The sequence below is a fragment of the Homo sapiens genome, chromosome 4 (assembly GCF_000001405.40).
Source record: "Homo sapiens chromosome 4, GRCh38.p14 Primary Assembly".
Lineage (NCBI taxonomy): Eukaryota > Metazoa > Chordata > Mammalia > Primates > Hominidae > Homo > Homo sapiens.
In genome coordinates, this window is record NC_000004.12 from 103,570,436 (window position 1) to 103,584,691 (window position 14,256).

Genomic DNA, 14,256 nt, shown 5'->3' on the forward strand with positions numbered 1-14,256 from the left:
AACTTCGAAAGTTATTTAGCAGTTAGTGGAAAAAAAATTGTGTATTACTTAGGCTTCCTTGTTCCTGCATACTCTGTTCTCTGTGCTTGCCTTTTTTCTCCTCTTCAGATAATTTGTATTTATTCTTTAGGATTCAGCTCAAGCATCTCTTTGTGAAAATTATTCCCTGTTTATCTCTTCTTTCCTACCAATTCTTTGACATAGGCAGAGGTCCTCTCCCCAACCTGCTCTCATGGCACTCTCTCTCTCTATATATATTCTTTGATAATTTATTATATTGTAGTGAAATTATTTGTTCACAAATGTAACTGGAGGTTAACTTGCATTTTGATGGTTCAACAAGATAGATTCATCAAGGATAGATGCAATATTAATCAAGTCTGTCAGGCATAGATTAGAATTTTTATCCAAGGAACAATATATAAAAAATAAATAAATGAAAATGACTATATAATAATACTTATTCTTTCATAAGTTCTCAAATTTGTCTTTCCATGTAGGAAGACAATATACTAGTCAGTATTCTGATATTTTCTCCAGTTTCTGGGAACTTTGTTAATATTGCTTAACTATCTTAATTTGGAATCAATACTGGGACACCCTAAGGCTTAGAATAAGAACCAGAACTGGGGTTAATTGATCATGGTAACCAGGCTTCATACAATGTCTAAGCATTCATCTGATCAGCCTCTTCTCTGAAAACACTATGTGCTTTAAAACACATAGAGGTGGGCCAGGTAGTGGCTCACGCTTGTAATCCCAGCACTTTGGGAGGCCGAGGCAGGTGGATCATGAGGTCAGGAGATTGAGACTATCCTGGCTAACACGGTGAAACCCCGTCTCTACTAAAAATACAAAAAATTAGCTGGACACGGTGGCGGGCGCGTTGTAGTCCCAGCTACTCAGGATGCTGAGGAAGGAGAATGGCGTGAATCCGGAAGGCAGAGCTTGCAGTGAGCCAAGATCACGCCACTGCACTCCAGCCTGGGTGACAGAGCAAGGCTCCATCTCAAAAACAAAACAAAACAACAACAAAAAAACACTTATAGGTGGTAGTTCATCTACTTCAAAACTACTACACGAAATGCATAATGTCTACTCTTTAAAGATTAAAACATCAGAACGCAAAACACTTGTTTGTTTCCTAGGGTTATTATGATAGTCATAGATGGATAAACATAGCATTTACTTCAAGTTCATGTGGCTGCATCTCAGAAACTATTAGTTAAAGCCATGGGTAGGTTCTAGAGTCAAACTACCTGGATGCAAAGCTTAGTTTCATGAGTAGCAAACTGTAGTTTGGGCAGGATGCTTAAAATTTCTGTTCTAATTTCTTCATTTATAAGATTGGGATAATACTCTAGTTCATTAAGTTGTGTTTAATAAGCCATGTATGACTTTCAAAATACTGACTAAATGCTTAAGTTGGTAATATGAGGTGTGAGGCTGATTAAAGATAATAAATTATATTTGGCAAAATAAATGTTAACTTTTAACAACTCTTACTAAACTGAACATAGTTGTTTTGCCTTCTTACACATATTTTCTGTTAAAGACAGATAAAATAGAGCTACAGTTCTTTCATGAGAGGGCCTTCGCAGTGAAACAAACATATTAGCTCAGCAGTGGAAGACTCCTGGGTACTCTTCAGGGATGAGTCATGTGGTGATTGAAAATGTGCTTGGGCTGGACCAGCAGTTTGCTGGCCTAGACCTGGCCTATTCAGATAATCAGAGTGGGGGAAGTACAGCCAGCAAAGGGCACTATATCCCTTTTCGTTGAGGAACAGAGCAGCTACTAAGGATTCTACCATAAAGACAGTTTAGGGTGGCGTTCTAGCAAAGATAAGGATGCCTACAGCAGTTTTGAATCTCCTAATGATTCAAGCACTAAGTCTAGCTTCTTCAGAGATCATGGAAGTGGATCAAGGGGAGGGTTTGATAATCATGGATGGAGTGATTATGATGGCACTGGCAGCCATTGTGACAGAAGTGGCTTTGGCAAATTAGCATGTGGTGAAAACAGTCACTGGTGTGACAAATAAGATGAAGATGATTGGTCAAAACCACTCCCACCAAGTGAATGCTGGAACAGGAACTCTTTTCTGGAGGCAACACTGGGATTAATTTTGAGAAATACGATGACATTCTAGTTGAGGCAACAGACAGCAATTGTCCTCCACATATTGAAAGTTTCAGTGATGTTGAGATGGGAGAAACTATCATGGGAAACATGGAGGTTATTATACTAGCCTGACTCCAGTGCAAAAGCATGCTGTTACTATTAGAAAAGAGAAAAGAGACTTGATGGCTTGTGCCCAAACAGGGTCTGGAAAACTGCAGCATTTCTCTTGCCCATGTTGAGTCAGATGTATTCAGATGGTCCAAAGGAGGCTTTGAGGGCCATGAAGGAAAATTAAAGGTGAGGGCGCAGCAAACAGTACCCAATCTTCTTGGTATTAGCCCCAAGAAGAGAATTGGCAATACAGATCAATGAGAAAGCAAGAAAATTTTCGTACTGATCTAGAGTTCCTCCTTGTGTGATTTATGGTGGTGCTGTTATTGTTCAGCAGATTTGAGTCTTAGAAGGTGGATGGCACTTGCTACTAGCCACTCCAGGATATCTAGTGGATATGATGGAAAGAGGAAAGATTGGATTAAACTTTTATGAATACTTGGTGTTAGAAGAAGCTGATCAGATGTTGGATATGGGGTTTGAGCCTCAGATACATAGAAAAGTTGAACAAGATACCATGCCTCCAAAGGGTGTCCACCAAACTATGATGTTTAGTGCTACTTGGCCTAAGGACATACAGATGCTCGCTCATGATTTCTTCAATGAATATATTAATACCTTATTGGCTGTATGGAGGAGTTGGCTCTACCTCTGAGAACATCACAAAGAAAGTTGTTTGGGTGGAAGAATCAGACAAAGTTGTTTCTGCTTGACCTCCTAATACATCCACTTGATCCCAGGCAAGTACGCACTAACCTTAGGTTTATGGAGACCAAAAAGGGTTTTTATTCTCTAGAGGATATCTTATACCATGAAGGATAGTCATGTACCAGTATCTATGGACACCATTCTCAGAGGGATAGGGAAGAAGCTCTTCACCAGTTACCCTCAGGAAAAAGCCCAATGCTAGTGGCTATAGCAGTAGCAGTAAGAGGACTGGACCTTTCAAATGTGGAACATGTTATCAATTTTGATTTGCCAAGTGATATTGAAGAATATGTATATGGCATTGGCCATACAAGATGTGTAGAAAACCTTGGCCTGGCCACCTCGTTCTTTAATGAGGGGAACATAAATATCACTAAGGATTTGTTGCATCTTCTTGTTGAAGCTAAACAAGAAGTGCCATCTTGGTTAGAAAATATGGCTTATGAACACCACTACCAGGGTAGTAATTGTGGACGTTCTAAGAGTGGCAGATTTAGTGGAGGATTTGGTGCCAGAGGCTACTGACAAAATAGTGGTGCCAGCCGTTCCAGTTTCAGCAGCAGCCATGCAAGCAGCAGACACAGTGGTGAAGGTGGCCACGGCAGCAGCAGAAGATTTGGTGGAGGTGGCTATGGAGGCTTTTGCAACACTAATAGATATGGAGGAAATTATAACTCCCAGAGAGTTGACTGGTGGGTAACTGAGCCTGCTTTGCAGTAGGTCATCCTGCCAAACAAGCTAATATGGAAACCATATGTAACTTAGCTGGATGATACCTTGTGTAGCTTGAAGAACTTGCAGTATATTACCAGCTGTGATTCTCCACTAATTTTTTCTTTTTTAAGGGAGCTCAAGGTTCCACAAGAAGAAAAAAAGAACAATTAACAACCTTGTTTGGAAGGTGGTTTGAAGACTTCATTGCCATTGTTTGGATTAATTCCCCTCCTGCCTACCTCCAACCCAAACTGCATTTATAATTTTGTGACTGAGGATCATTTGTTTGTTAATGTTAACTTTAGATAACTTTTTATTTTGATGTCCTGTTGGCTCAATACATCAATTGTTTTGAAAAAATTACTGAACTTGGGCTAAAGTCAAACCTTGGGACACAGGTGTGATACAACTTAATAGGAACCATCGATTCATCCATAAATATTTTAAGGATAAACCTATTTGGTAGCCTCCATTAGGGCTTTTTGATACTTGAAAACTGGGGGAAAACAAACAACAAATCTTGTAAAGTATATTAATGGAATTAGTTTCTACTGCTGCAAACTGTATTAAGTTAAAGTTCTGATTTTCTCACTCTGTCCTGGATAGGTATTTGTAACCTCACAGCCTTTAAACAAGCCATTCCAGTCACGATGAGGTGATGTATGAATACATGCATACATTCAAACACTGTCTTCAAAGTTAACTCAAGTAAATACAGCAACTCCTCTTTCAGTGTTTAGGCAGATTATTAACTATGAGCTAGCCAAATGTGGGCATACTATTACAGGGAATGCTTAAAGATCCGGTAACTTGAAATAGGTTTTTAGGAGAACTCATCTGCTTAGACTTTTTAAATGCCTGCCATAAATGAAATTGAAATGGTAGATGGGGACCACAGCAAAGACCAACCCTCGTTAGGGCCCTGGATGATTTTTGGTCTAATAACACATGCTAGTGTTGATGTTTTCTGGTTAAGAGGGTATGAACAGGAAGAATTATGCAGCAGGCTTTACTTTAAATGCTGATTCACATGATTGTTCAAGCTGAGTTGAGATGCTAAACTGGCTTACTATAGACTTTGTAAAAATGGCTCCAGAAGAGTAACTAACTGAAATCTTTAAGCTCACACAGGTTGGAAATATGTACATAATTGCACAAGGTGTCAATTTACTCTACAGCGCAGTTTTAGTTGCATAGGTTTCCATTGTATTTATAGTCAATTTAAGTTAAATCTGGCCAAAGATGAGCATTGTTCACCACTAAAATGCCTCTGCCACTTTGAATTCTGATCTAATTTTGTGGCCAGAATGTGGTGATTAAAGCGCTCAGTCTTTTTACAGTGGCATAGGAAAATGGCAAAAATTTCCTAAAGTGCAGTAGATTTTCAAGTGTATTGTGCCTTGTTCTAGAACTTTTATTAAGTAGGTACACTTGACAGTATTGAGGTCATTTGTCATGGTGCTATTTAATTAGTCTAGGTTTAGGCCCTTGTACTTATTGTCCATAATTTGTACAAAGTACTTCTTTTATTGCACATTAAGATATATATGCATATACGTCTTCTCTTGTCTTGTGTGCATGTCCTTAAACTTCCAATCTTATTTTGTCTCTTGGAGATTGTTGAACACAGCTTGTCTGGGAAGGGGATGGGACTAGATTTCTAAAATTTATTTGGGACCATTGGGAAGAAAACTATTTGCACACGACAGATTTCTAGATACTTTTTGCTGCTAGTTTTATGTAATATTTATTGAACATTTTGACAAATATTTATTTGTAAGCCTAAAAGTGATTCTTTGAAAGTTTAAAGAAACTTGACTAAAAGACAGTACAAACACAATGGCACTTGAATGTTGAATGTCACCATATTCGTGAAATTATATATTTCAGGGTAGTGTGAGCTTTTAATGTTAAGTCATATTAAACTCTTAAGTCAAATTAAGCAGACCTGGCATTGGCAGTATAGCTATAATTTTCTGATATTAGTAAAAACAAAATTGACAACTTGAAATTAAATCATGCCAAGGTATTGATACACTTGTCTTAAGATATTAATGAAACACTTCACCACACTGATACGAAGTGTCCAGATTTTCAGATGTTTGTTGTGTGAGTTTTGTTGAATTTTATGTATTTTTTTTCAGTGAATGTCTGGCACATTGCAATCCTCAAACGTGATTATCTTTAGTTGGCAATTTAGTTGGCATAATCAGTGACTTGTACATTCAGTGATAGCGTTTGAGCAAGTTTTATCAGCAGGCAGTATTTTCAGTTAATAAATAAGATTTCAAAATCATGTAAGGTTTTAAACTTGCTGAATGTAAAGATTGCACCTCAAGTCACTGTACCTTTAGTAATTGCTTAGTATAATAGTTCAGATGCTAGCAATGCATGTGCTGTGAATATTCTGATTTTATTAAAATAAAGTTGAACTACAAAAAATAGATAAGATGCATAAATTGAACAATCTCTAAGACTACATGGAAAGGAAACTCTTGTTCTTGGTATAATATTATGGACCACTGTGAATGTTCTATGGACTTTGTATTCTATATATACTCATATTCTCTGAGGATGATCATAATGGTAGATTGAAATATCACAATGATCTCAACCCCATTCTTAGCAATGCAATTTCATGTGATCATTTAAAAGTATTAGCAATGCACTTATATAGTGCTTAGATATTTTTAGTTGCTTTCACTCTTATCTATAAGGGGTTGTCCTTAATAATCATAGTTTACAAGATTATCATGTGAGGTAGGTTGCTATCATACAAGGTAGATGAACTACATTGTGTATTGAACCATGAATTCCATGGATTTTGACAGGCATAAAAGATAAATGGCTGATTTGTGTTTGTGGAAGTTCATTCAATTCCTGAGAAAAATCAGGAGGTGAAATCTAAGAAATATTAAGCCATCGAGAGGAGGCAGCTATCTTTTTGAAATTAAGATGGGATGACAGGTCTTTCAGCCTGAGAACAGCTAGCATGTGTACTTTAGTTGTCATGCTCAAGGTCAAAAGAAATTTCAAAGTAGTTAAAGAGGTTGCTTGATTGCCTGCCCGCCGTTCGTTCGTTCTTTCTCTTTCTTTCTTTCTTTCTCTTTCTTTCTTTCTTTCTTTCTTTCTTTCTTTCTTTCTTTCTTTCTTTCTTTCTTTCTTTTCTTTCTTTTTCTTTCTTTCTTTCTTTCTTTCCTTCCTTCCTTTCTTTCTTTCTCCTTCCCTTCCTTCCCTCCTTCCTTCCTTCCTTCCTTCCTTCCTTCCTTCCTTTCTTTCTTTCTTTCTTTCTTTTTCTTTCTTTCTATCTTCTTTTTGGAGTTTCACTCTTGTTGCCCAGGCTGGAGTGCAGTGGTGTCATCTCGGCTCACCACAACCTCTGCCTCCTGGGTTCAAGTGATTCTCCTGCTTCAGCCTCCCAGGTAGCTGGGATTACAGGTATGCGCCACCACACCTGGCTAATTTTGTACTTTTACTAGAGATGGGATTTCTTCATGTTGGTCAAGCTGGTCTCGAACTCCCAGCCTCAGGTGATCCACCCGCCTCGGCCTCCAAAAGTGCTGGGATTACAGGGGTGAGCCACTGCGCCCGGTCTGATTTTATTTCACTATGAATTTGGAGCTCTAAGCCTAAAAGAAGGTTTCTCATAATTCATGGAAAAAGGAGGAAACTTTCTCTAAAATATTTCTTGTGTGCATATTTACAAAACCTAAACATAGATTTTTTTTGGAAATATTTAAATATGCTATTTTAAAGAGTTTCATTTTTCCATGTTTATATAAGGCATGTTAAAATAGTTGTACACCTAAGATAATACAGCAGCTTTCAGCATTTAAGTATAAGTGATTGAATGTTGATTTATGAACATTACAGACCAGAAGATTAATAAAAATTTTTGCATAGTGAAAAATAATTAGGATTTGACCTCATTTTTATGCTTATATCCATATAAGGAATATTTTCACTTATTTTATGTTTAAATATCCATTATCAGTAAGGGAAGCTAATGATATACATTTTTACATCTACATATATCTTTGTGATGCACAGCCATTTAAATTCAGATATTGAAATACACCACTGCCAGGAGAGGAAATGCACACAATACTTAACCTCTAGAACTTTGTCATTGCTATAGACCAGTGCCTGCTGTGTCTTTCCATTGTTCCCTTTTCTGAATTTGAGTTTGTAATTATGTTTATGTTATGTATGTTACCCTTTCTCCACCACTGTATATTAGATGTACAGCAGGACAGATGCCTTGGCATTTTAGATCGTAGATTATAGAACTACGAGTAGCCCCATTAAGGTCAGATGGAGAAGACCACACACCAGCTGGATATCTCAACTTTGAATAGGATGAAGTAACTGGAAGCTATTTGGGAATGTCAAAAATGGGATGTGACAGGGTATGTTCTGTGTTGGGCACTAATGGTGCTCCTAGATATTTGGTAGCCAGGTAGGTAATCTGTAGCATAAGGCTAGATTTTCACCGGTTATGCTGCCTCCCCCACAGTGCTAAGTTGTTGCTGGGAAGTAGCTGCCTAGTCAGGGTCTGTATTTCTCTGGATCCCTTGCAATTAGGTGGTATCATATATCCAGTATTGCCAGTGGAAGGCAGTTAGGAATTAGATGTATCTTTTCTAAGACTTCTCTTTTCTCATGCCTTGATGCAAGAAAACACATTGAGAGTTGGATTTTGGCAGTACCAAAACCACAAGAGGGAAAGAGTTCAATTCATTGACTCATATCTTGGAGAAGAACCACATCCTCCAAAAGCAAAAATCTTATTTTGGAGCTTAGTGTGAAAAATAAACCACTTAAGGTGTTATACATTTTCAGTATCATATATTTAAATGATTATTACTATAACTATTGAAAAATATATGTTTGGCATTTAAAAGTCAATTTCTTAAAAGTAACTTTCATTTTTTGGTGGCTTTGAATTGGCAGTGTAGTTTTTGTCTTTAAATGAATGGTGCATTTGATTTTAAAATTATTTTTCATTTTTTATTGAGGTACTTAAACTGTCAACTTTAGCGTTTTCCTCACAGATCTGTGTTTTCTGTACTATCACCTTGATCTTTAAATTGAAATTATTTGTTCTTCATGTTCTTTTTAAAGCTTTTAATGAGCTTGCAGACAACTATCTCTTTGCTGTTCCTACTATTAATATTGCAGATGCAACCCTGGGATAGTGTAAAGGTAGGGTAAAGGCAGAGCACTCACTTGACAAGGGGTAGCATGGGATGGATAGGATGGGATGGATTAGATGCAACACAAAGCAATGAGGTAAGGTGAGATGGAATAACTGTGTAGTAGTAACTCAAAAGTATCACAAATTTTTGGACCACATTAGCCTGGATGACTATTCTTAAGTAAAGAAACAATGTTGGGAGGCTGAGGCAGGCGAATCACGAGATCAGGAGATCGAGACCATCCTGGCTAACACGGTGAAACCCTGTCTCTACTAAAAATACAAAAAAATTAGCCAGGCACGGTGGCGGGCACCTGTAGTCCCAGCTATTCAGGAGTCTGAGGCAGAAGAATGGCATGAACCTGGGAGGCGGAGCTTGCAGTGAGTGGAGATTGCGCCACTGCACTCCAGCCTGGGCGACAGAGAAAACTCCATCTCATTAAAAAAAACAAAAACAAAAACAAAAAAACAATGTTATTCTGGCTTGGCTTTGGATTAAAAGGCTTTGGCTAGGGAATTTACACTCTTTGTTTTCTCTCTTTATTGTGTAGGCAGAGAGAGTTTAATTTTAGCCCAATTCTTTTATTCTTTAATAATGAGCCATATTAGTCAAGATTTGCATTCTAGCACCCATTCTTTCAATATGTAAACAACTTTTAAGTATGCAAAATTTTCTTTGAGACGCCTGGGTTCTGCCACTAGGACCCAACATTTTGAGTTAGTTTTTCTTGCCTAAAGCCCACATACTTGCCTAAAGTCCAGCATCCTCACTGAACCACCACTGGGCTGTTCCACCTTGTTTCTCCTTCCCTATTTCAGGTTCTCAGTTACTTCTTGGGTGCTCAGAATTTGCTGTTACCATGATTGCATATGCTGAAATCAATGAATTCAGTCATGCATACTGCCAACTCTCTCCGCTCATTACGCTTGCATATATGAGAATTCATGGTGCTCTGCTAAATAAAGGGTTATGTTTGGGGGTCACTGCCTTTTAAGAGCACAAAACTGAAGCTTTAAATGTTTTAGTGCTTTCCACAGCTTAGTGTTTAAACACGTGCTCAGAGATGAATTCATTAAAATGCACTCATCCTCTCAGGCCACTTAGGATTGCCCACATGCATCCATTCTCAGGCTATTTGAAAACAGGAGGAAGAGGAAACTCAACAATGGATATTTCTAGTACAGAAAGGATTTATGATTCAGAACGTATAACAATATTCTGGTGACTTTGCATTCATGCACTACTATCCTTTTCTATAATCTTTCCAGTACATTTTAGAATAAACTGTGGGCTTGCTACAAACTGAGAAGAACAAATCAATGAAAATAAAAGATATAGGTAATCAAAAGAGGTCTTCAATTTTCCTCCTGAAAACTCAGACAAGGTGGAGGCTCAATTCAGTTAGGGGAAGATTGGGCTGTTCATAATTGCCTATGTGACTTGTCAGTTCCTTTTTAATTCGTACAAAACCTTTGTGAGTGTGACATTATATCTAGACGATAGTTATGTTAATTTCCCTAATTGTGATATTATCTGCCTATCAATAGCCACCTATTCTAAACTTTAAAACATGTAGCAATTTTTCATGCTTGAAACTCAAAGTGACAATAACGTTGGAAAAAAATAAAGACATTTCCTGTGAATTCAGTTAAAATAGAATGCTCACTTTTTCCACAGAATAATGCTTTTTAAAATTTTTATTGCTTATGCAGTACATGCTTATTAAGGAAAATATGGTTAACACAGGAAAATAAAAGGAAAATTGTAAACTGTAATTTTACTAAAGACGTCTACATAACATTTAGGTACAGTTTCTTTTCTCAAGGCATCTATAAAAGATATTTGCCATTCTTGTTGAATTCTCAGCATGTGTGTTTGAGGAATTTCCAGCTTATGAAGCAGATCTTGCCTCTCATTTTAGAAGCAGAAAACCCAAGGCTTATTTTCAGTTGGTCCCATAGCTAAGTGCAAGCACATTAACTTCGGCTATCCCAATTTGATATGCACACTCTGGGCTTTGGATTGAGAATTCTTGAGGCAAAGCAGCAGAGACACAGGAGAATGTATTCCCATTGGGGTGGAGAGGCAGTAGCATCAATATCCAATTTCCAGAGGGAGAAGAAGCAACAATTTCAGTGTTAGCATCATTTACATGGTTTTGGTGATAAAACATTTTTGAGTGACAGTGACTATGCCCTGCAGTTCTGGTGGCAGTGTAGCTACTTTAATGGTTCTGAGGTGTGATTTATGTATTGACAGTGACTACCAGGCCCCACACTTGTTCTTCTAGCTCTCAAAGTTTACAAGTTTCCTAACATAGTATCATGCCTATAATCTTAGAACTCTGGGAGGCTGAGGCAGGAGGATCACTTGAGGCTAGGAGTTTGAGACTAGCCTGGGAAACATAACAAGACCCTGTCTCTACAAAAAAATTAAAAAAATGTATCCAGGTGTGGTGGCGTATGCTTGTAGTCCCAGCTATTTGGGAGGCTGAGGTGGGAGGATCACTCAAGCCCAGGAATTTGAGGCTGCAGTGAGCTATGATCACATCACTACACTCAAGCCTAGGCAAGAGAGTAAACCCTCTTGTAAACAAACACACAAACACAAGTAAATAAATAAAAATTTATTTTTACTAAGATTATCTGAGTTAGTTTATACTGCTCACAACTAAAAACACTGAATCAGTGGATTATTTTTTATTATGTGGTTGGAATCCTATTTATCATGTTTCTTAGTCTGGGGTGAATTCTACCTAGGGACCGGAATTTTCTGAAGGAAATTTTTATGTATGGTTTCAGAGTTATGTTCATAATTAAAGGAAATATTAATAAAAAATTCCAGTTCCATTTGCAAAGACAGAAACTGATTCATTATTTTGTAAGTTACTTTTTAAGGTTTCTTCAACTATTTTGCTTGCTGATTTGATAATTTTCTTCCTTAGAGTTCCTTTAAAAGACATAGGTCATTGACTTCTGCTTAATAAAACTCCTATTTTTTTAAAAAAAATAGGTTTATTGATATATAATGTACACGTTTAAATGTTCAATCCAGTAGTTTTTAGTATATTTACAGAGTTGTGCAGCCAACCCAATAATCTAATTTTAAAACATTCTCATCATTCCAAAAAGAAATTGTGTGCCTCTTCACAGTCATTATCCTTTTACACTCCTTCCTCTCTCCTTTAGCACTAGGCAACCAGGCAACTGCAAAGCTAATTTCTTTCTCTTTAGATTTACCTACTCTTTTTATTTCATAGAATTGGAATTACACAGTATATCGTCTTTTGTGGCTGGCTTCTTCCACTTAGCATAATGGTTTTGAGATTAGTCTATGTCATAATACATATCAGTATTTAATTTCTTATTATGGATTGCCAAATAAAATTTCATTTTATTGCAATTCCATGTTTTATTTATCCATTCATGAGTTGATAGGTAGTTAGGTTGCTTTCACTTTTTTGCTATTATAAATAATGTTGCTATGAATGTCTGTGTATAAGTTGTGTGTGAATTTATGCTTTCATTTCTCTTGGTTAGATACCTAGGAGTAGAACATCTGGGGTCCTATGGTAACTCTGTGTTTAACATATTGAGAAACTGATGAAGTGTTTGCCATGGTGGCTGCACCATTTTACACTCAATTCAATTTAATGTATCCACATTCAATGCATTCGGTTTCTCCACATTCTTGCCACAGTATGTTATTGCCTGTCTTTTTGATTATAGCTATCCTAGTAGGCATGAAGTGGTATTTCATTGTGGTTTTGATTTCCAATTCCCTAATTGAGCAAATAATTATGGAGGCTGAAAAGTCTCATAATCTGCTATCCACAAGCTGGGGAACCAGATAAGACAGTGGTGTACAGTAGTCCCCTCTTATTTGTGATTTCACTTTCCATGGTTTCTATATGTGTATGTTATAACTAGGTGGTTCATAGTATTGCGTATGTTCTCTATTTTCTTATTAACTATCTCTGTAGATGTTCTGTCCATCATTGAAAGGGGAGGGTGTTGGAGTCTTCAAGTATTATATTACTGTAGAGCTATTGTTCTCTTTATTTCTGTCAATATATGTTTTATACATTTTGGAGCTCTGTTGTTAGGTGCTTTTACATTTACAATTATTATATCTTCTTGATGGGTTGAGCCTTTTAGAGTTGTGTAATATCCTTCTTGGTCCCTTGAAATAGTTTTTCACTTGAGGTCTAATTTGTCTGTTGGTATAGCTAACTCAGTTCTTGTTTAGTTACTGTATTACATGAAATATATTTTATCCTATTTGTAGCTCTAGATCTAAAGGGAGTTTCTTGTAGAAAGTGTGTAGTTGGATCACTGTTTTTTTTCATTATGCCAGTTTTTGCCTTTTGGTTGGATAGTTTTAATCTGCTTACATTTAAAGCAGTTACTGAGAAGAAAGGGTTATTTCAATCATTTTGCAATTGTTTTCTGTAAGCGTTAGGCCATTTTTGTTTCTAATTTCCTCTTTTATTGACTCCTTTTGTATTCAATGTATTTTTTGTAGTTAAACCATTTTGTGTCCCCTTTCATTTCCTTTTTTGTATTATTTTTTAAAGATATTTTATTTGCAGTTGCATGGAAATACTTTAACATCTTAAGTTTATGACAATCTAGTTTTAATTGATATCAATTTAACTTCAATAGCATAGAAAATTCTCTGCTCCAGGACAGTTCTGTCCCCACTTGTATGTTGTTATCATCAATTATATATTTATACATCATGTTCTTAACAACAGATCATAATTATTTTTATGCATTTGTCTTTTAAATTGTGTTGTAAATTAAAAGTGAAATTATGAATCAAAAATGCAACTACAATACAGTAACACTGGATTTTATATTTGCCCAGGTAGTCACCAGAGAGCTTTATTTCTTCAATGACACTGAGTTACGGCCTAGTGTGCTTCAATATCAACCTTAAAAACATCCTTTAGCATTTTGTATAGGGCAGGCCTACTGATAAAGGACTCTCTTGGTTTTTGTTTATTTGAGAACATCTTAATTTCTTCCTCATTTTTTGAAGGATAGTTATGATGGATTAGAATATTTTTTTCCAGCACCTTAAATAATATCATCCCATTGCCTTCTGGCCTTCATAATTTCTGATAAGAAATCAATTCTTTTTTTATTTTATTTTATTTTATTATTATACTTTAAGTTTTAGGGTACATGTGCACAATGTGCAGGTTTGTTACATATGTATACATGTGCCATGTTGGTGTACTGCACCCATTAACTCGTCATTTAGCATTAGGTATATCTCCTAATGCTATCCCTCCCCCCTCCCCCGACCCCACAACAGTCCCCGGAGTGTGATGTTCCCCTTCCTGTGTCCAAGTGTTCTCATTGTTCAATTCCCACCTATGAGTGAGAACATGCAG

At 36.7% G+C, this 14,256-nt stretch overlaps 1 long non-coding RNA gene and 1 pseudogene across 1 annotated transcript in view; both read left to right on the forward strand.

Moving 5' to 3' along the window:
• The window catches only part of TACR3-AS1 (TACR3 antisense RNA 1), a 75,707-nt gene that overhangs the window by 21,691 nt on the left and 39,760 nt on the right, over positions 1-14,256 (forward strand). The window lies entirely within an intron of this gene.
• On the forward strand, positions 1,567-6,094 carry DDX3P3 (DEAD-box helicase 3 pseudogene 3; annotated as a pseudogene).